Raw genomic sequence first — 21,311 nt, 5'->3', positions numbered from 1 at the left:
GGCCAGCTCAGAAATGGGGGCTGGAGAAGAAAGGCCGGCTGTTTTCTTCCTTTCTCTGTTGTCTTCCCTTCTCTGCACAGAACCAGACAGAAATATGCATATGAACTGCAATGTGATATATGACATACCAACTAGGTCTGGTTGGCTTCCCGGCCTCTCTAACCTGTTTGAACTGAAAAATAATAAACAAGACAGAAATGAGCATTTACTTTTTTTTCCTCTTGCTTCTTCCCCTTTCATCGTAGCGGTGATTTATTACTGAGTTTTCATGATCTTAGGCTGACCTGGAAGTCTAAACATTAAGACCATTAATTTGCGTAGGAAAAAAAATCTATGTATGCATTCACATAAGCTTAGAATTGTGAAATGATCCTTTTTATTTACTTATATATTTATCTTAAGAGAGAGGGTCTCTGTATGTTGCCCAGGCTGGAGTGTAGAGACTATTCACAGGCGCAATCCCAGTATTGAGCAGCACTGGAGTTTTGATCTGCTCAGTTTCTGGGCTGTTTCACCCATCCTTAGGTAACATGGCAGTGCCTCACTCCCGGAAGGTCACCATATTGATGCCGAACTTAGTGCAGCCACCCTATCGGCATAGCGCACAACAGCCCAGAACTCCTGGACTCAAGCAATCCTCCCACCTCAGCCTCCCAAGTAGCTAGGACTACAGATGCATGCCATCACACCCAGCTATTTTCATTTTATATCTTCATATTATATGGTGTTTTATCAGATACGAAATAATAATCAATAAAAATCAACATACAAGTTTTCTAACTAGCGGGTATTGTTTAAAGACACTGAGAGTGTTCAATTATTTTACCAACAGATGGAATTTTCTTTTTTTTTTTTTGGGAAAAAAACTTTATTATAAAAATCCAACGGTATATATAAACTGCATTTCTCTAGCCCAAGATATTTATGGGATACTCTACACTGTAACTGCTATGGCAGAAATAACATCTGAGAAACTTCATTTTGAAAATTTGGACATATTAAGCATTATAGTACACATTAAAATCTTGATGTTCCCCAAACTTGACAGTCATCTAGGTGAGGTCATTGCTGTCTTCAGAAAACTCAACAATCTCCTGTTTACTGTTCCAGTGAACTTAAGTGAGGTTTTCATTTCAAATGCCATTGTTTCTAGAATTTACCTTACCCTGGTTTATTTTCAAATTCACCTGTTTTTTTCCCCTAATCGCTTTTGCCCATTTTAAACACTTAAATCTTTTAGATGTTTTCACTGTTACTTACTCTTCCCCTACTGTTTGTTTATATGGCTTACAATGTTCTGGTGAGATCTCAGTGTTCTAAGACGGTGAGGCCATCCCTTCAGGCTGGCTTTACTGCCAGAGATTTTATGGATTTAATATACACACAATGAGTTATATTTATGCAAGGAGCCCATTCTGTCTCTGGTTACACGAGGAAGACCTGTGGCTTAAACTACCAGTGACTGTAGGTCTTCAATGCATTCTGTATCACATAGTATTCTGTGTGTTAACTATTGGGGTAGCGGGGTGGATTTGCCTTATTTGGGCATGCTATGTTGACCTCAATTTGGCTGGAGTCTGAGCAATTTGCTATGCTGCCCTATTTGTTATTCACCTATATTCCTGAAAGTGGATATTTTGGAAGGAAAGTAAGGTAAATTTGGTTGAGGTTTCTGTATAAAAGGGAAAAGTTAATTTTTAATACAAAAACAAAATTTATTTCCATAGAAAGCAAAATTTATAAGTTAAATATAAAGATTAAAATAGTGTTTGAAAAGCTCACTATAGTGCTAACAAACTAAATGAAAATAAGGCTATTTTGCATGTAAAACTGAAATACCTCTTAAAATAATTTGATCCCCAGTATTTGCTCTTTTTGAAGTAACCGACTTACTCTTAAAAAGGATGGCTGCCAAGATGGAAAGTCTTATTGGGTTTTCATGTTAACCTATTCTTTGGACATAACTACGAATTTTGTATACAATGCATTTCATGAAAAGTTGTGGCTCCCCCAGATTTCCCACAAGTGTGATCTTGAAGTCCTAAACATCTGTCCATGTAAGCTTCAAAACAGAGCCTTAACGGAGTTATTCAAGTAGCAGTACTTAAAGATATAATTCTTGAAGCAGTTTCAATGGTTTCTGATCCAAATAATCAGTTTCTGAACATTACTACTTCACAAAATAGAGTCCATCTTCAGTTTCTTTTCACTTTCTCTTTCCCTTTTGGGTTTCCTATTTGTGGCCTGAGGCCACCAGTTCTTTGGGTACTATCAAGATACTTCCATCATGGGTACACTGAAGAGCATAGTGGTTTGGATTGACTGGCCTACCTTGGTCATCTCTTAATCTACTAAAAATGTCATGATAAAGGTCATGCACTTTCTGTTTCATAATGTTAATAGCTTTGTTACATTGTGCTTGCTCTCTAAGAGTTTCCTTCTTTGCTTGCAAGTTACATACATCATCTTCTAGATTCAAAATTATGTCCAATTTGCGTTTACGACAGTTCTGCGCAGAAACTTTATTTTTCCCTCTTCGTCTGATATCACGGATAAGTGAGACTTGTAGGTCTGTCAGATAATACCTACTTAACATGCTATTGAAAGAATCAACAGGCATGCCGACAATTTCATCTACAGAAAAAGGGATACGCAAAGCTTTAGCACTCCATTCATCACGGCTCAAGTTTCTATCTGTGTCTTCAAGGTACCTACTCCTTATCTTCTGTGACTTCCCAGGCCACGAAAAAGGTTCAGAAGTAGATTCTGGTGCACTTGGCTGTAAGTGGTAAGTGTGGTTATGAAATATGTGTTGAAATGTAAGATCCCCATGGAAACCAGAATCACTCTGATCCAAGTGACAAAGCTTACTGGGTTCTGGGTAGTAGCCGCCTACAGCACCTTCTAAGTCATGATGGGAACTAGAGTCACGGTCAGTACAATAACCTATAGCACCTTCATCACACACAGAGTGAGAGGAATTAAACTTGATGACAGAGGTACTATTGTGACTTGAATCTAAAGAAAGGCCAGAATCAGAATCTGGTTCATCAAAAAGCTGAGAAACATCGATCGGATCGAAGTTGTCTTCTGTGGCCAATGACATTAAGTTTATCTCATCAAATATATTTACATCAAGGTCATACAGTAGGTCTTGGCTTGTTAGATTCCCATATGATTGTCAACCGGTGAAAGAAATCCTGTCAAATTAGTTCCAGGAAGGATTTGCTCAGGATTGGTGGTATGAGAATTTAACTGCAGAAATGGTTCTTGTGACTGAGGTCCTTGCTATTGGATCTCTTCTAAATGTACTGTTGGGACAAAGCAAGATGGCCTCATGAAGATTCACATCCCGACTTACAGCCTGGCTGAAGTTTACATGAGAATGTGCTGAAGAATTCATGCCATCACTGATACTGCCTGGAAGAGGAATATCTCCCAATGAGATGCCCTCCAGTGAATTTTCAGGCTGTGATGAAAGCAACTGGAATAAGTCTTCCAGAGAGAAAGAAAGAAGTATCTGCCCCATTCAGATGTCTCTCATTTCTAGATTCAGAGGTCTTTTCTGCCTCCCAGTCAGGTTTCTCTGCTATTTTGTTTTCATCATCATTATTCTGCTGAAGTGAGTTCTCCTTCAGGGCTGACACCCTTTCTTCATTTTCCTCACGCTGGGAACTATGATCCACAGCTTCGTGCTTTTCTCTTAGTACCTCGTTCTCCTCGCTCGCACATCCGCCAGCGTCCGCCACCTGAGCCGTCGGTTCCGCGGGTGCCTTCTCCTCTTCCCCGGCGTCCAAGGGACCACTCCGAGCCGCTCGGGGATCCCCGCCGCCCCCCTGCACAGCCTGGCTGCCGCCGTCCACGCTGGCGCCAGCTCCTCCGGTGGACGAGGCGGCGGCGGCGCCGAGCAGCCCGTGGGCCTCGTCCGCGCTCCCGACAGCCACGGTGTGCACCAGCCACGCATCCACCCGGGCGCGAGGGATGAAGGGGACCCCGAGCACGCGCACCTCCCGGAGCAGCTGGCCCTCGGGCTGCGCGGCAGCGTCCAGCTCCCGGCCCTTGGGGTGCAAGTGGCCCGCGCGCCCCCACCCTCCCGAGGCCGAGAAGGGGCTGAGCGCGTAGGCAGAGCTAGCCGGGCCGCCCAGGAACAGCAGTTCGTCCCGGAGCACGGAATTTTCATCTTTGGTGCATGAGTTCTAAATTGTAGACATGTCTAGAGCAACTAAACCTTAGCACCGTGACCACTTGACACATGAGCAGAAGAGGCTCCCTGCAACGGGAGAGGCTTTTGTGAATAATAGTCTATGCTTAATTGTGTCACCAAGAAACAAGGCAATGCCTAACCTCCTGCTCCAGATAATGCCAGCTCTCTGCCAGCTGACCAGGAGCCTATTACTCCCAACCTCCTAAAGAAGGAGTCTGTAGAAGGCCTTGGCTCTCACCAGCCCACTCTGCCTCTGGAAACTGCAAGACAAAACAATTGTCCAGTGGCTCCCATATGAGACACACTAAACTGGCTGTCTTCCGCTATGAGATTATTATACTAATCCTTTAGCTTATAATGAATTATTAAGAAAGCAAACTTACATTTGCCTTTTAAAGCTGTATGTGTAAACCTATTTCATACAAACCAATGCAGAAATAAACATGTTGAACTAACATATTCTCAACATTTGCTTCTAAAGGTGTTTCCCTAACACTTCCATTTATGGAAAAAAAACAGCTTATGATGCATCTTTAAAAAAGCATGCTTACAATCACTTCACCTCAGTCATCAGCAGCAGCCCAAATCCTGCCTGTCAGCCACCATCACCCAAACTAGCAGGCACATGCACGAATATGACCCGATTTCCCTTCCTCTCCACCCTCTAAAACCCTGTTGGTGCATTCTATGGAATGTACAGTGTATCATCAGGAAACTTGCTTTATCCTCAAACTTTTCTCTAAACCTTCTCCTCTCCTCTTTCATGCCCTATCTGAAACCTGCTTATTCCATAAAAATATCTCTTCCTCCTTCCCCACAGCCCTCTAGAGAAGCAGCTATCTTTTCTTACCCCATGAGGAATGGGTCTAGGAATGGCATATTGTCCTTTCTAAGCTAGAAAACCTAGCAGTTCTCTCTTTAAATCATATCCCAACTCTGTCCAATTCACTGCCTCTTCACCACCACTATCACCACCCAGGCCATGCCAACCCTCTCCTAACCTGTCTCTTTCTCTCCGCCCTTACCATCCCGTGGTCCATCTCTCCATAGCAGTCATCTTACTTTTAACTGGCTGTGATATCACATCTCTCTCCTCCTTAAAATCCATCAGGAGTTTTAGTCCTTACTTTGCCTTGCAAAACCTGCATGATCTGGGCCCTGCCTCCATCTCTGTCTCTTGTGCCACTTCTGGCTTTGCCCACTGTAGTGAAGAGAATTGTGTCCCCCAAAAAGACATATTGAATCTCTAACACAGCCTACCCTCATACCTGTGAACATGATCTTATTTAGAAATAGGGTCTTTGCAGATGTAATCAAGTTAAGATGACATCATTACAGAAGGCCCTAAATCCAATGACTGATGTCCTTATTGGAAGAAAAGGCCATGTAAAGACAGAGACATTGGCGGGGCATAGTGGCTCATGCCTGTAATTCCAGCACTTTGGGAGGCCAAGGCGGGAGGTTCACTTGAGCCCAGGAGCTCAAGTCCTGTCTGGGGAACCTGGCAAGACTCCATCTCAAAAAAAAAAAAAAAATTAGCAGGGCATGGTGGTGCACATCTGTGGTCCCAGCTACTCAGGAGGCTGAGGCAGGAGGATGGCTTGAACCCAGGAGGTCAAGGCTACAGTGACCCATAATCATGCCACTGCATTTCAGCCTGGGTGACAGAGGGAGACACTGTCTCAAAGAAAAGAGACACGGAAAGAATGCCAGGTGACAATGAAGGCAGAGATTGGAGCAGTGCATCTACAATCCTCCCATGGAGGATCCTTTCTTGCCCTTCCTAGCTTTTGGTAGCTAAGAGGGACTATAGCCCTGCTGACACCCTGATTTCAGACTCTGGTCTCCAGAACTGTGAAGCAATAAATTCCTGTTGAGCTAAGCCACCCAGTTTGGGGTCTTTTGTTACGGCAGCCCTAGACCACTAATAAACCCGCACTACTCTAGGCATATTGACCCCTCTGGGCTCCTTGAACACACCAACCTGATTCCTGACCTATAAACTGTGTTCTAACTTTTCTCTCTGACCAGAATGTTCTTCCTATTTTTATATGACCAGCACTTACATGCCATTCATCTCAGCTTAAATGTCACCTCCCCATTTTCAAACATTCTACCTAAAATAGCTACCCAGCTACTTTCTATTACATTAACCTGTTTTAGTCCCCTGCATAGCCTATAGCTATCTGATGTTACACATGATTGTTTATCTATCATCTGTTTTTCTCCATGCACTAGATGAGAACAGTGACTTGATTATCTTAGTTATTGCTGTCTCCTGCATGCCTAGACAGCACATTGTAGCTACATAGGTAGGGTGGCCAATTCGTCCCAGCTTGCCCAGGAATGGTTTTAAAACAGTTTCATGTCCTGGGAGGCCCCTCGGTACCAGGAAAACCAGGATGGCTAATCACTTTACTAGTAGACATTGTCAATCAATCCAATTATCCATAAATATTAGAAACTGAATGCATTCATTAAACTTTCAAAGAAATAAAATTCTTACTCTAAAATCTAACACAATGTAATTGAGTATTTTAGTCACAGGTGGCCACTAAATGGCTAGATTCATTAACATACCAGCTTTCATTAAAATCACCCTAAGGTGAGGAGACATTTCATTCCAATTAAAGTATTAAGGTACTCAGCTGTTTCTCATGGTACTGTAAGCATATAGAACTGTATACCTTTGAAGAATTTATAATTCCCATGTGTATTTCTGAAAAATCATTAAAATTTTCCATGCTGAAAAAAAAGATGGATTTATAAATACTATGACTAACTCACATTTTTAATGTTTTTTCTGAAATTTTTGTCACTAACATGAAAAATCTATATTGGGACAGATAAAACTGTGAATACAATGACATCTTGTATCCAGGGATTTAAAATATAGCAAATATGTATTTATTCACTATAGTGACCACCTGAAGATTTTAATAGATGCAGAAAAAAAAATCAGCTTCTCAGAAAGAAATCTACTGTTGAAAATGTTCTGAAAGCAAGTTTTTCTCAAGTTTACAGCCCTTAGGTAAGAGATAATCCACAGCTGGTGTCATTTTCTAAGAGAACCTCATAAAGTCACTAAGGCAAAAAGAGGCTCATCTCAAGAATTCTTGTCTGCAGTGAAGATTTGCCACTCTGATCACTCTAGAGATTAAAATTTGCTCAAGGGAACAGTTTCTAAAACAGAGCTTGTAATTTCAGGAAATTTTATTCTTTCTTATTCCCAGAGATTAGATCAATCTGATCTTGGCAAGATACACCACTTTTGTAAACTTGTAAACACATGCAAGCAATATTTATATGCTGTGTATTAAATATATATGTAGCAAAATTTAAAGCATGAGCAGACATAATAAAATGCCCAATTATCATTGTGTGGACCTATGGGAAGAAATAAAGGGAACAGGATCAGAGAGAAGATCAAGGGAACTTCAACTTTACTAGAAATGTTTCTTAATTTTATGAGTTTAATATGTTCTTATGGGTGCTAATGCTTGTTACATTATTTTTTCTTTTTTTCCTTTTACCTTTTCCAATTAACAAACAAGAAATAAATAAATAGCTATTGCTCCCAAGAGTCATTTGACTTTCCTTCAAGGAGTGTGACAAGCCAAGGAAAGAAATAGAGAGTTCAAGATGAAGCAGCCTTTGGCTTATGTGTCTGAAACCCCTGAAGCTGTAAGAAATCAGGATGGATTATTCTAGTTAGAAGTTGGTCAGTGCGTAGGTAGGTTTCTCTCTTTATACACTTGTTATTAGAAAAAAGGTATTTTGCAAAAATGCAGTTCTGATGAGAGCATTTTATAAATAAGAGCCTGGCACTTGTTGAGAGAGGTGGAGTAAGGATGAGAAGAGAGGGATGAAGGTATGGGGAAATGACAGTCAAAGGGTACAGAATCTCAGTTTCACAGAAGAATATAGGGTTTTTTTAGTTCTATTGCCAAGCATGGTGAATATATTTATATTAGAGGGTTGTACCTTTCAAAATTGCTAAGAGAGATTATTTCACTTCATATTTATAAATTATAACATCACTTTGTACCCCATAAATTTATATAAGTTGACAATTTACAATTAAAAATAAAGTTTGATTAACAATTTAAAATAAAGTAAAATAAAACACTGATAGTGGAATTGCAAGAGACAATAGCAGATGAAATTTTCTCTAATGTTTCACAGAAGTTTTTAAAGAGCCAAAATATCTGTCCACAAACATCAAAACAGTGAAAGGTACACATCCCTGTTCTATAATCTCAAAAAAAGTGATGACCAGAGGAAAAGGAACAGAGACAATTTTGGTGTAGGTTAGCACAGCTCCTGATCACCCCCGAATTAGTCAGGGTCTAGTCAGAAAATGGAAGGCAGCATAGTTTATGTCAAAAGGAGGGGATTTGAAGCTGGGGGAGGGTAAAACCAAGGAGAGAAAAGGAGGGGGAAAGAGGGACAGTGTAGAGGGAGCTGCTCTGAGGAAAAGACAAATCCACTTCCCAAGATTCCAAGATTGAGAGAGAGAGAAACCCAGGCTTTTCCCGGCATCTTCTCTTCTAGTCTTACATTAGCAGAATTTTCATGGAAAGAATAAGGCGAGAGAGCTGCATTGCTGAGAAGGGAAGAGAAGGGAGAAATATGTACCTGAGAACAAGCAAATAACCAGTACAACCCCGGAGCCCACCAGCGACCGCGGGAAGAGAGAAAGCATGCCAATGGGAGCAGCATTTCCTGACAAAACATCATGGAGCAAGGTCCATGAAGCACTAAGCAATGTCTAGGAAAATCCATCATGACCCCATTACACTCAGTAAGTTGTTCAAATAAGGTTCCCAAACACGACAGGGTCAGAGAACTTTTTTTTTTTTTTTTTTTTTTTTGAGACGGCGTCTCACTCTGTGGCCAGGTTGGAACGCAGTGGTGCAATCTCGGCTCACTGCAACCTCCACCTCCTGGGTTCAAGCGATTCTCCTGCCTCAGCCTCCCGAGTAGCTGCAACTACAGGCGCGCGCCACCACGCCCGGCTAATTTTTGTATTTTTAGTAGAGACGGGGACTTCACCATGTTGCCAAGGCTTGTCTCAAACTCCTGACCTCAAGTGATCCTCCCACCTCGGCCTCCCAAAGTGCTGGGATTACAGGCATGAGCCGCTGCGCCCATACCCTTTCAGCATTTTTTAAGAAATAGCTTTGAAGTAAACACTTTTTAGGGAAACAAAAATTCTCTTTGTGTAGTAAGGGTTTTTTTTTTATATTCTTCCATATATTTATATCATTTGGTTTGGATCGGTTCAGATTCCTTGAGAAAAAAAAATGCTGTCTTCATCAGTGAGGTTAAAATCCACAATCCTAATTTCCATTCCAGAAGCTAAAGTGCACAGAGAGGCAAATAAAATACAGAAACAGGCTAGGTGTGGTAGCTCACACCTGCAATCCCAACGCTTTGAGAGGCAAAGGTGGGAGGATTCTTGGAGCCCAGGAGTTCAAGACTAGCCTGGGCAACATGGTGAGACCCCCATATCTACAAAAAAATTTTTTTAATTAGCTGGGTTCAGTGGCATGCACCTGTGGTCCCAGCTACTCAGGAGGCTGAGGTAGGAGGATCACTTGAGCCCAGGAGTTGGAAGCTGCAGTGAGCTGTGATTGTGCCACTGCAATCTACCATGGGCAACAGAGTGAGATGCTGTCTCAAAAAAGAAAAAGAAACAATACATTTATCAAACATCTCATGAAAGGTAAATGGGAATGACTATATGAAGCTTCCATATAAAGTTATTACATACATACATACCGTAACTTTGTATTTATTTTAACACTTCGAATAAAATGCTTTCTAAGATTCGTTTTGTGGTTTACTCTCTTTTATGGTGCAAGATCCAATTTAACCTTTTCTTCAAATTCAAAAATGCTAGTTGTTTCCCTCGGCAGTGAGTATAGAGGTATTCTCAGGAGCTACCTTAAGTGCTGTGTGTTTATTTGCTCAAGGTTTTATCAGCTTTTCTTGAAAGCTACTTTGTTATTGGGGATGGAGCGGGGGTAGTAATAGTTACTGATGTTCCTTTAGGGATGTATTTTTGGACATTTATTCTTTCTCAGATGTGTTTTTGAATAGTTGTGACTGAATCAGAGAGCTAAAAAGTGAGATGATGTAACAGTTCATATGGGATCATAGATAAATGGGTTAGGTTGCAGGAACCTGAAGGATTCATGGAGTTCTCTACAGATACCTGTAATTAATTAAATCCTCTCTCTTTGAGGATTAAAAAAGAAGATACTCTTCAAAACTGTCATCTTCCAAAAATATGTTGGGAACAGAGTCATATACTAAGGTAAATATGTCTTATTTTTATTTGAGAGAGTCAGTGTATATAGTCATTAAAAGCACAGCCTCTCAGCCAGACTGGCTAAGTTCTGTGGACTTTGGAGTAATTTACGTGAATTCCCATGCCTCAGTTTCCTCAACTGTAAAATGGGTATTATAATAGTAGCATCTACCTCATAGAGTTCTCAAGAAGAAAAACATGAGTCAGAATTTGTAAAACACTTATAACTGTGCCTGGAATATAGAAAGTACAATTATTATATAAGCTAGATTATAGGGGAAAAAAAAGAATTTTAAGAGAAATCGTCTTGGTCTGTATTCCTTAATGTTGATGTTGGTGGTGTTTTCTCCATGACTCTGAGAACAAAGTGTATTTGAATATACATTGGCCCTCTGTATCTGTAGGTTCTGCAACCATGGATTTAACCAACTAAAGATCAAAAATATTTTTGTAAAAAAAATGGATGGTTGCATCTGTATCAATATGTACAGACTTTTTCCTTGTCGTTATTTCCTAAACAATAGAGTATAACAAATATTTACATGGTATTTACGTTGTATTGGGTATTATAAGTAATCGAGACGTGATTTAAAGTATACATGAGGATGTGTTTAAGTTATATGCAAATACTATGCCATTTTATATCAGGTACTTGAACATCCTCAAATTTCGATACCAGGGGAGGGGTCCTGGAATCATTTTCCCACAGATACCAAAGGATGACTAGACAATTCTGACCAGGGCCAGCTTCATGGGCATGTGACCTGTACAAGAAGGAATCTCTATGCCCATATTAGAAGTCTCCCTTACTTGGTTTAATGCTCTGCTGTCATGATTTTGAGATTCTTAAGACTTTCTGAACAAGGAATCTCACATTTTATTTTGCCCTGGGCCCTGAAAATGATGTCCCCAATCCTGACTTGGACTCCCTGTGCTCCCTGATTCTTGTAAGCCCAGAAGCCCTAAGCTGGTTGTTGTATCCTCTCTCTGCTCACAGGTTTGGGGTCGATCACTCTGGAGCAAGAACAGTAAAAGAATTGAAAATTCAGATCCTGCCGAGCTCAGTGGCTCACGCCTGTAATCCCAGCACTTTGGGAGGCCGAGGTGGGCAGATCACTTGAGGTCAGGAGTTTGAGACCAGCCTGGCCAGCATGATGAAACACTGTCTCTACAAAAAATACAAAAATTAGCCAGGCGTGGTGGCACACGCCCGTAATCCCAGCTACTCGGGAGGCTGAGGCAGGAGAATGGCTTGAACCTGAGAGGCAGAGGTTGCAGTGAGCTGAGATCATGCCACTGCACTCCAGCCTGGGAAACAGAGGGAGACTCTGTCTCAAAAAATAAAAATAAAAAAATGACAATCTCAGCCTATTACACTGTGTTTCTCACAGAACGTTTATATCAACATGCATGTATACTGAAAAGAAAAAAGAACTTGGGGGAGAAAAGAGTTCCTCCTTTGTGGAAACACAGCCTATGCAAAACTACCATTTCCCCTCAGGAGCTAAATTATCCAGTGCAGAGTTTATGTTCTTTCCTTTAGGATCTCTTCCTTCCTTAGGAATGTGGCTTAAATAGGACAGATTTTATTCTACCTGTGTGACCTCAAACAGGCAAAATTCATTTAAGCTCCGTAGGTCTCACTTTCAAATTGTTTTCAACTGAGGGCAACAACAGCTGCCAGATACACAGACAGTGTGCAATCAAAAGAAGATAAAGTATGCAAAAACATGTTATCATCTGGAAGGTGGGGCAGCAGGCACAGTATGAGGTAACGCACTTCTGCTTTCTGTCCTGGGGCCACGCGAGCACCTGGCTCAAAGTAGCTGGCTTCATTTTCCCAGTAAAGAAACTGAGTGCCAGGAACATTAAATGGTTCCATAAACACTTCAAAGTCAAGGTGAAGCACAGGTATGCACATTAATTAAATCATCACTGATTACACAACTGCTTTGGGTTGGTCACAGAAAAGTCATGGAGAGATGGAAGATAAATAGGAAGCATGCATTTTCCTCAAAGGGCTCACACTCTTTGTAGAGTGACAATTAAAGGGTAAATAATTACCATACAGAATAGTAAATATTTCCACTAAGGGAAATGTAGAAAGTGCTGAGGCATCATGCTTTCTCCCAGCAGGCCTTGGGAAAGGCTTCCCAGGGAAGGCCAGAGGAATTCACCACTTGGAGAGAGCAGAGGGTATTCTAGTCAGGGCAGAGGCCCCAAGCAAGGAAGGTGAGTGGCATAAGAGTTCATCCACATGGGGCATCTGGAAAGAATAGGCAATGAGACTGAAGTAGGGGGATGGGGGCAAGGCTTCATTCTGTGGGTGAGCCACTGGGGAACTTTCACAGGTTTTCATATACAGGGTGCTATGATCAGAACTCTTTGAGAAGATAATTCTGGACATGTAGCAGATTATGCATTGGAGTGAGGAAATCAAGGAGGCAGGAGAGTTTATTAACAAAGAAACCAGTCCCAACTCTCCATCAACTGAAGAATGAATAAACAAATGTGGTATATCCATACAATGGAATACTATTCGGTCATAAGATAAAGTTAAGTCATATCACGACATGAAGGAACCTGAGAAACCTGATGCTAAGTGAAAGAAGCTAGTCACAGAAGGCTACATATTATATGATGACATTTATACAGAATGCCTAGGATAGGCAAATCTGTAGATACAGAAAGCAGATTTGCAGTTGCCAGGGGATAGGGGAAGAGAGGACTTGAGAGTAACCAGTAATGGGTATGAGGTTTCTTTCTGGGTGATGAAAATGTCCTGGAATTTGATAGCAGGGACAGTGGTCACAACTCTGTAATCTACTAAAACTACTGGATTGTACAACTTTAAATTGTAAACTACTGAACTGAACAATTTAAAATAAAAAGAATCTGTTGTTATTATCAGATAAATAAAGAAGAACCAAACAAAATTAGCATAAGAGAAAATTTAAGAAAACCAGAGATGGCTTCCAAAATATTTAGAAGATGTATTTACAAGAAGATGCATTTAGAAGTGATAGAAGTGAAATATAAAAATAGTCAGAATTTTCCTCAAACCTTCCAAGCAGAGACAATAGCCAGATGGGGCTAAGCCAGAGAACAGACAAATAGGAAATATTCTTACAGTTAAAGAGCTGGGCTTCAGACGTGACAAGACAAGGCAGTAGAAGTGTTATACGAGGTTACAGAAGTTACCTTGGCATACAGAGATGGAGGGCATCAGCATCAGAAATAAACAACACTTATGAATCTTTTATGAAGGCCATATTTAGCAGAAGTGTGTATTTTTAATTTTAGCTTTCAGTTTTGTTTCAAAGGAATTTCTAGCCATTTCTGAAAACACATAGTATACAAATGCTACAGGATATAGATAGAGAATGTAATTAATGAAGAAAAAAATTCTTCTCACTGAATGTGGTTGTGAAGTGAGCAAACACTAACAAGCCCATTTTTCACTTTGTAGGAAAGTCATAAAGATACCACCTCCCAAATCACTCTTCTTCAACGTATTGTTTTGTGTTTTAGTATTTACAAGAGTTTTCTTTTTGAAACCATTGGATATAAAGCAGTTACAAGAAAATACAAGCACTCTTGTATGAAAGCACAAGGGTCTTCTGGTGACGGGAGACCCCTTCTGGTTCCCACCCTGCAACAAACCCACTCAACAAGTGTGGAAGAGGGCTGAGGCCACGCTGGGCCTCACTGTCCATATTTGAAAAGGGGGGGGATTAATCAGATAGTTTCAAGGCACTCTTCATTCTTGAACCTCATCTGATAACCTGATGCATGCAGTGACTAAGAAGAAGGTCACTGACATTTGGCCAAGCTTGCCTTGACTCATGGTTTTGCTATGTATTTTGTCACCTATACTAAGCCTCAGTTTCCTCATTTCAAAGATAAGAATAATGAATATTATAACTTCTACTTTATCGTATAATTACAAATATTAAGTAAAGATTATATAAGATGCCTACTTTGAACACTGACATATACTAAGCCTTCAAAAAATGTTTCCTACTGTTGTTAGTATTAGTAATACACTACAGAAAAATTAGGCAGACACTGATATAGAAAGTATAAGAAACTTTAAATTTTAACAACAAGAACAAAAGTGAGTTTTTAAATTATCACTTTCTCATTAAAAAAAATACTGCTCAGCCAGGCGCAGTGGCTCACGCCTGTAATCCCAGCACTTTGGGAGGCTGAGGCGAGCGGATCACTTGAGGTCAGGAGTTTGAGACCAGCCTGGCCAACATAGTGAAACCTCGTCTGCACTAAAAACACAAAAATCGCCAGGCGTGGTGGCACACGCCTGTAATCCCAGCTACTCAGGAGGCTGAGGCAGGAGAATCACTTGAACCCGGGAAGCAGAGGTTGCAGTGAGCTGAGATTGCACCACTGCGCTCCAGCCTGGGCGACAGAGAGAAACTCCTTCTCAAAAAAAAAGAAAAAAAAAAGAAATACTGCTCATTGTAAGAATTTTAGAAAATATTTTTCTGGCACTAGTTCTTTTGAGAAACAATATTTGAGAAATGAGATAGTATCTCTTTTAAAACATGATATTTGAGATAAAAATGACCAAATGCCTTTAACCTTTAGGATCGCCAAATCTAAGTCATGCAAACTTCAAAAAGTCATGTTTTTAAGCTGCGGAATGCAAAGCTATGGAAAGTACAATACCTGTAATTCATGGTCTCTCTTTTTGTGACTCTGTCATTTATTTCCTCCCAAGGAGGGAAACTATGGAAACCATTACCTAAGATGTTTCTTCTTGACCCTTTGCTTGTGCCGGCCCTATTTCCAGTCAGCAAGCAGCAGCTGCTGTTGATCTACAGTTGCCCTTTTCCTCTGCACCTGCCCTGCTCAGCCCAGCAGAGATAATTTGCAGCAAGCAGGGCCTCAGAGCTGGGAGCCTGGCAGCCTTCCAAGGTCTTCATATCTTGCTAGTGAACAAGATCCTGCCTTACCATATGACATTCAGTATGGCTTTGAGGTGATGTCAGTGAAACAGCTCAAAGAGGATTTAGGAAGAACAATTTTGCACTAAAGACAATAGGAAATACTGACAAGGAAGATAGAAGCCATCGGTATGATTTTGCAGTCCTTAGCACCCCTGTACTAGACTATGATGATTGTAGTAAGTTTTTATGATACTAAAAGCCTGCTATAAATATTATTCACCCATGCAAAGTAATGAAATTTTGACATATACTACAACATGGATGAACCTTGAAAACATTATGCTAAGTGAAATAAGCCAGGACAGAAGGACAAATATTTCATGATTCCATTTACATGATGTACCTATGATAAGCAAATTTATAGAGACAGAAAGCAAAACAGAGACTATCTAGGGTTTAGGGGAGGGTGGGGAAAGAAGAGTTATTGTTTAGTGGATACAGAGTTTATGTTAGGGATAACTAAAATGTCCTGGACACAGACAGTGGTGATAGTTACACAGATTATGAATGTACGTGAGGCCACTGAATTGTACTTACAAATGGTTAAAATGACAAATATTGATCCAGCAATCCAACTTCTGGATATTTGCCCAAAAGAGTTATAATCAGTTTGTCCAAGAGATGTCTGCACGCCCAAGTTCACTGAAGCTGTGTTCACAATAACCAAGATACGGAATCAACCGAAATGTCCATGAATCAACCGAAATGTCCATGAATCAACAGATAAATGGATTTTAAAATGTGGTGTATATGCACAATGAACTATTATTCAGCCTTAATAAAGAAGGAAATTGTGTCATCAATAACAACATGGATGGAACTGGAGAATATTATGCTAAGTGAAATAAGCCAGGCACAGAAAAACAAATGCCATATATTCTCGCTTACATGTGGAATCTAAAACAATTGAACCCATAGAAGCAGAGAGTGGAATGGCGGCTACAGAGGCTGAAGGTGAAGTGGGTTGGGAGATGATGGTCAAAGGGTACAAAATCTCAGAAGAGAAACATGGTGTGGGATTTTTTTTTTTTTTAGTTCTATTGCACAGTGTGGTGAATACGGTTAATAATAGAGTATTGCACATTTCAAAATTGCTAAGAGTAAATTTCAAATGCTCTCACCACAAAAAAGATGTTAAGTTGTTGAAGTGATGGATACATTAACTAGCTTCATTTAATTATTCCACAAAGTATTCATGAGTTATAACATCACTGTCTCCCATAAATATATACAATTAAGAATATTCAATTTACAATAAAAAATAAATAAAAATAAAATTACAAATATTATGTTATGTCTATTTTGCCACAATTTTAAAAAGCAAAGCAATAAAAGGCACTGGGTTGGGGGGAGCATATTGAATTCAGTTTCTCAGAGAAATAAGCAGCTTCAAATCCAACTTAAACAGTCCTAATTTGAACATCAGGCATAAGTATCAAATACTCCGGTTTTGAGAGAGTGCTTTTCTTTGAGAAGATGGAAAGGTAAATGATCAACAGACAGTTACTTTGAGTATCTCGGCAAAATGTTATCTGTTTAAACTTAGGGTTGTTTATAAGTATCTGTTATGTCATTTTCTATACTAAATAAATTTTCCACACCTTCAGCTTCTTTCCTCAAATATCCACCACTTCCTCTGCTATCTTTGCTTTCTGCTTATGACCATGCTTCTTACTTCCCAGAGAGCAATGATGCCATCAGAGGGTCCTGAGCCTCCCCCACCACATCCACCGCCCACTAGCATCTATACCCACATATGCTGCCTTCCTGCCCATTAGTGTATAGGACCATCTACATCCAATTCCCAGTGCTTGAGCACTAGGTAACGTGGCCTGTCATCTAGTCAAGACTATCTCTGCGATTGTTCTTTATCACCTGCCTACCCTGCTAGGTTATATTTTCCAGAAATCCATGGATTTTTGTCTACATGGTTCTCTGATATATCCCAAACATGGAGATCAGTTGCTGGCATGTAGTAAACTCTCAATAGATATTTATGAAGTAAATGAATGCAATCCTTTTCTATATTTTTTAAATATTTCAATATTTTTAAAATTAAATATTTGAATAGAAAAACACAACTTGAATGAGTAAAAATTTGGGATAAAATATTCTGCCCTGTGATCCCATAAGCCATTTAAATGTCTCTGAAATGCCAAAATTTCAACATCCACATTGCATCTCCCAGAAGTCAAAATAAAACGACAAAATATTTTGTCATCTTATGTTTCCATTATTCTTTTAGAAATAATGTTTATTATTTGACAGCACAATAGGGTGACTATAGTCAATAATAACTTAATTGTATATTTTTAAATAACTTATGGCCAGGCACAGTGGCTTATGCCTGTAATCCTAGCACTTTGAGAGGTGAAGGCAAATGGATTGCTTAAGCCCAGGATTTTGAGACCAGCCTGGGCAACATGGCAAAACCTCGTCTCTACAAAAAATGCAAAAGAAATAGGCAGGCATGGTGGCATGCACCTGTAGTCCCAGCTACTCAGGAGGCTGAGGTGGGAGGATCGCCTGAGCCCAGGGAGGTCACGGCTGCAGTGAGCCTTGATTGTGCCACGGCACTCCAGCTTGGACAACAGAATGAGACCCTGTCTCAAATAATAATAATAATGATAATAAATAAAATAACTTCATGTATTGGCTTGTTTATAACTCAAAGCATAAATACTTGAGAGGTGGATGATTACCCCATTCTCCGTAATGTGCTATTTCACATTGCATGCCTGTATCAAAACATCGCCATGTATCCCGTAAATATATACATCTACTATGTATCCACAAAAATTACAAAATATATTTAAAAATTCAAAAATTAAAAAAGAATAGGTCTGTTTCTCTTTCCATGGCATGGAATCTCTGGACACCAAAAAATTTATGTAGGAGGTTACATTCAAACCCCTAAGAAGTGCGAAAGTAATTTTAGTACAGGCAAAATCGGAGCTATCAGAATTCCATGGGTTAAAAGCTGAATGCACTTTTTTAAACAGCAGAAATTGCCAAGGTAAGCTCTCTATGACGAAGTGTCATAATAAATGCCTTTACTCTGAATCACATATGCTATGTTTCTCAAAACACTAAATGAAATGTAGGCTTACAGTACAGATGTGGTTATTTGCTTGGCATCGGTACTTCCTGTCATCAAAGCAGGGAACAAGTGTCATCATTAAAGAATTTTGTCTTTCTGACCTATTTGAGTACAGTCTGAAAAGACAGTTGTAGAACACTTTGGAAATTTGTCCACATTGGCCTTAATGGTAACACAAAAGAGTAAGGAATGTGTGTCTTCAGGAAGGTCTCATCCAGCAGGATTGCATAGTTAAGTTTTTATCTATGCATGATGCCAGAGCTATGCATAGAAGCTACAAAATAGTTTTAAAAATAGGTGAATAACAGTCTTGAAAATTTGGTGTATATCCTTGGAACAATAACATGATTAAAATGAGATGAGAATGGCAAGTGGCCCTCCTTCTGATTTTTTCATGGCTCACAATTCCCCTTGAGCTTGTCTAAAACTCCCTGGACACATCAGCTCTATTCAGCCTCTGGAAACAAGTCTGTCTTGAATATTAAAAGGCAGGAGGAGGAAAAGGGAAGTAAATACAAATCGCTTTAGTCTACTGTTCATATAACTTGAGATCAAGGTGACCTGGCTGCTAATATTTTATCCCATGATTCAATCTGAATAATCAAAGTTCTTTTGTTTTCCTTAGACTCTAATAAGTGACTATTCCAGTTTGACACTTGATACAGTCTTTTATGATATACTGTAAATTACTACTAACAGCCATTTTGGCTGGAATATGAACAAATAAAAATTAAATTTTACTTTTAAATACTACATGTTTTAGCTCTACAGCTATTCTACTGCACCTTAAATTCAATAATTTAATAATAATATCTGGAAACAATTTTTTAAACATGTTTTTCCTTTGACACATGGTGTTTTGATGTTGTAGAATCTGACTTCTGTGCATTTTGGGGGTAGGGGTTAAGCTTTAAAACTAAAGAATCGAATTTTCCTTCTGGCCAAAATGATGTTCTATGACCTAATTTAGGGGAAAAACAGAACTAGGGGCCAGAACAGAATCTTAATACTCCAGAATTTTAATCATTTCTCTGAGCTTGTCTTCAATCTAAAACATTCATGATTGCTTCCACTTCTCTGTGGCTCTATTTCTACATCTGAGCAGTGGAATACTAAACTCATCATGCAAATACCACCCTGAGTTTGTTAACGTAGGGGATTTGGTGCTCCTATGGTGTTTTTGCAGCACCTCAGCCCAACCTGAACATTCAAGATTGACGTCAAAAGTTGAAGTCTGTCACTGTTGGTGCCACCAAATGATTTATGGTCATAAACTTCCTTGTTCTTAGTAAAAGAATGAGTAATTTTTTTTTTGTCTTTTTTTTTTTTTTTTTTGAGATGGGGTTTCACTCTTGTTGCCCAGGCTGAAGTTCAATGGTGCAATCTCAGCTCACTGCAACCTCTGTCTCCTGGGTTCAAGCAGTTATCCTGCTTCAGCCTCCCAAGTAGCTGGGATTACAGGCACATGCCACCCCGCCCAGCTAATTTTTGTATTTTTAGTAGAGATGGGGTTTCATCATATTGGTCAGGCTGGTCTTGAACACCTGACCTCAAATGATTCACCTGTCTTGGCCTTCCGAGTGCTGGGATTACCGGCATGAGCTACAGCGCCTGGCCAAGTAATTTTTTTCTATTTCTCTTTTACTCGAACAAGTAAATATTTACAAAGGAGATTCAGGTATGATATTCATTCTAGGATAAAGTAGAGATACGGAGTGTAAACCAGCTATTGCAAAAGATGTTAAGTCTTTCAGCAAGTTTCTTTTCAAACTACCTTAATATTTAGTGAAGTGTTCATTGGTATACACCCAGCTCAAATCAGTGAGTCATAATAAACCCTTTAAAGGTTAGTCATTTTTGTCAGCTACCACCAAAATGGAAAAATACATCATGTTTTCGTCGATAAAGATGAGCTCATCTTGTTACACAGTTGATATCAGAGTATTATAGATTAACAAATTAATATTAGTTTGCACAGAGAGAAAAAGAGAGAAATTTGTCTTAATGTTTCACTGTAAGGGCACTAAAAGCCTTAGATCTAATTCATATGTATAATTTGTGTTTGCTCCACATTGGCACATTTCCAAAACCACACTTTTTTAACAATTACTGCTGGGCATGGTGGTTCACGTCTGTAATCTGAGCACTTTGGGAGGCCAAGGCAGGTGGATCACGATGTCAAGAGATCAAGACCATCCTGACCAGCATGGTGAAACCCCATCTCCACCAAAAATACAAAAAATTAGCTGAGCGTGGTGGTGCACACCCATAGTCCCAGCTACTCAGGAGACTGAGGCAGGAGAATCAGTTGAACCCAGGAGGCAGAGGTTGCAGTGATCTGAGATTGCACCACTGCACTCCAGCCTAGCAACAGAGTGAGACTCCGTCTCAAAAAAAAAAAGAAAAGAAAAGAAAAGAAATTGCTAAAATATCTTTTACTAATTTGTGTTCTCATCTTAGCAAAGACCATGACTTATTCATTTTTATATTTCTAAAAATTAAAAGGCCCCTGGGGATACATTTGACAATAATGAACATTTACTGAGTAAAAATGCAAGTACACGTTGTCATTGGCAAGTAATATTCAGAAATCTGTTCCCTGCTTTAGCACACAAGTTTTTTACGTGCACAAACTGAGCACCAATTTGATTTGGAACATTTAGTCTTTAATGTATTCCTTTCAAATTGATTTGTAGTTTACCCCATTGGTGTTACTGAAGGTTA

The 21,311-nt window shown here is 39.7% G+C and overlaps 2 pseudogenes, besides 3 other annotated features; both read right to left on the bottom strand.

Moving 5' to 3' along the window:
- On the bottom strand, window positions 401–694 carry RN7SL342P (RNA, 7SL, cytoplasmic 342, pseudogene; annotated as a pseudogene).
- On the bottom strand, window positions 1,501–5,800 carry NFE2L3P1 (nuclear factor, erythroid 2 like 3 pseudogene 1; annotated as a pseudogene).
- Window positions 2,131–2,240: an enhancer, noted in NCBI's record as "active region_13426". NCBI's record gives its function as "activates an Ori minimal core promoter by ATAC-STARR-seq in GM12878 lymphoblastoid cells {active_cell/tissue: GM12878}" and the evidence as "EXISTENCE:reporter gene assay evidence [ECO:0000049][PMID:35858748]".
- Window positions 20,138–20,187: an enhancer, noted in NCBI's record as "active region_13425". NCBI's record gives its function as "activates an Ori minimal core promoter by ATAC-STARR-seq in GM12878 lymphoblastoid cells {active_cell/tissue: GM12878}" and the evidence as "EXISTENCE:reporter gene assay evidence [ECO:0000049][PMID:35858748]".
- Window positions 20,198–20,377: an enhancer, noted in NCBI's record as "active region_13424". NCBI's record gives its function as "activates an Ori minimal core promoter by ATAC-STARR-seq in GM12878 lymphoblastoid cells {active_cell/tissue: GM12878}" and the evidence as "EXISTENCE:reporter gene assay evidence [ECO:0000049][PMID:35858748]".

Source organism: Homo sapiens, chromosome 18 (assembly GCF_000001405.40).
Source record: "Homo sapiens chromosome 18, GRCh38.p14 Primary Assembly".
Lineage (NCBI taxonomy): Eukaryota > Metazoa > Chordata > Mammalia > Primates > Hominidae > Homo > Homo sapiens.
This window is presented reverse-complemented; position numbering and strand designations above follow the sequence as displayed.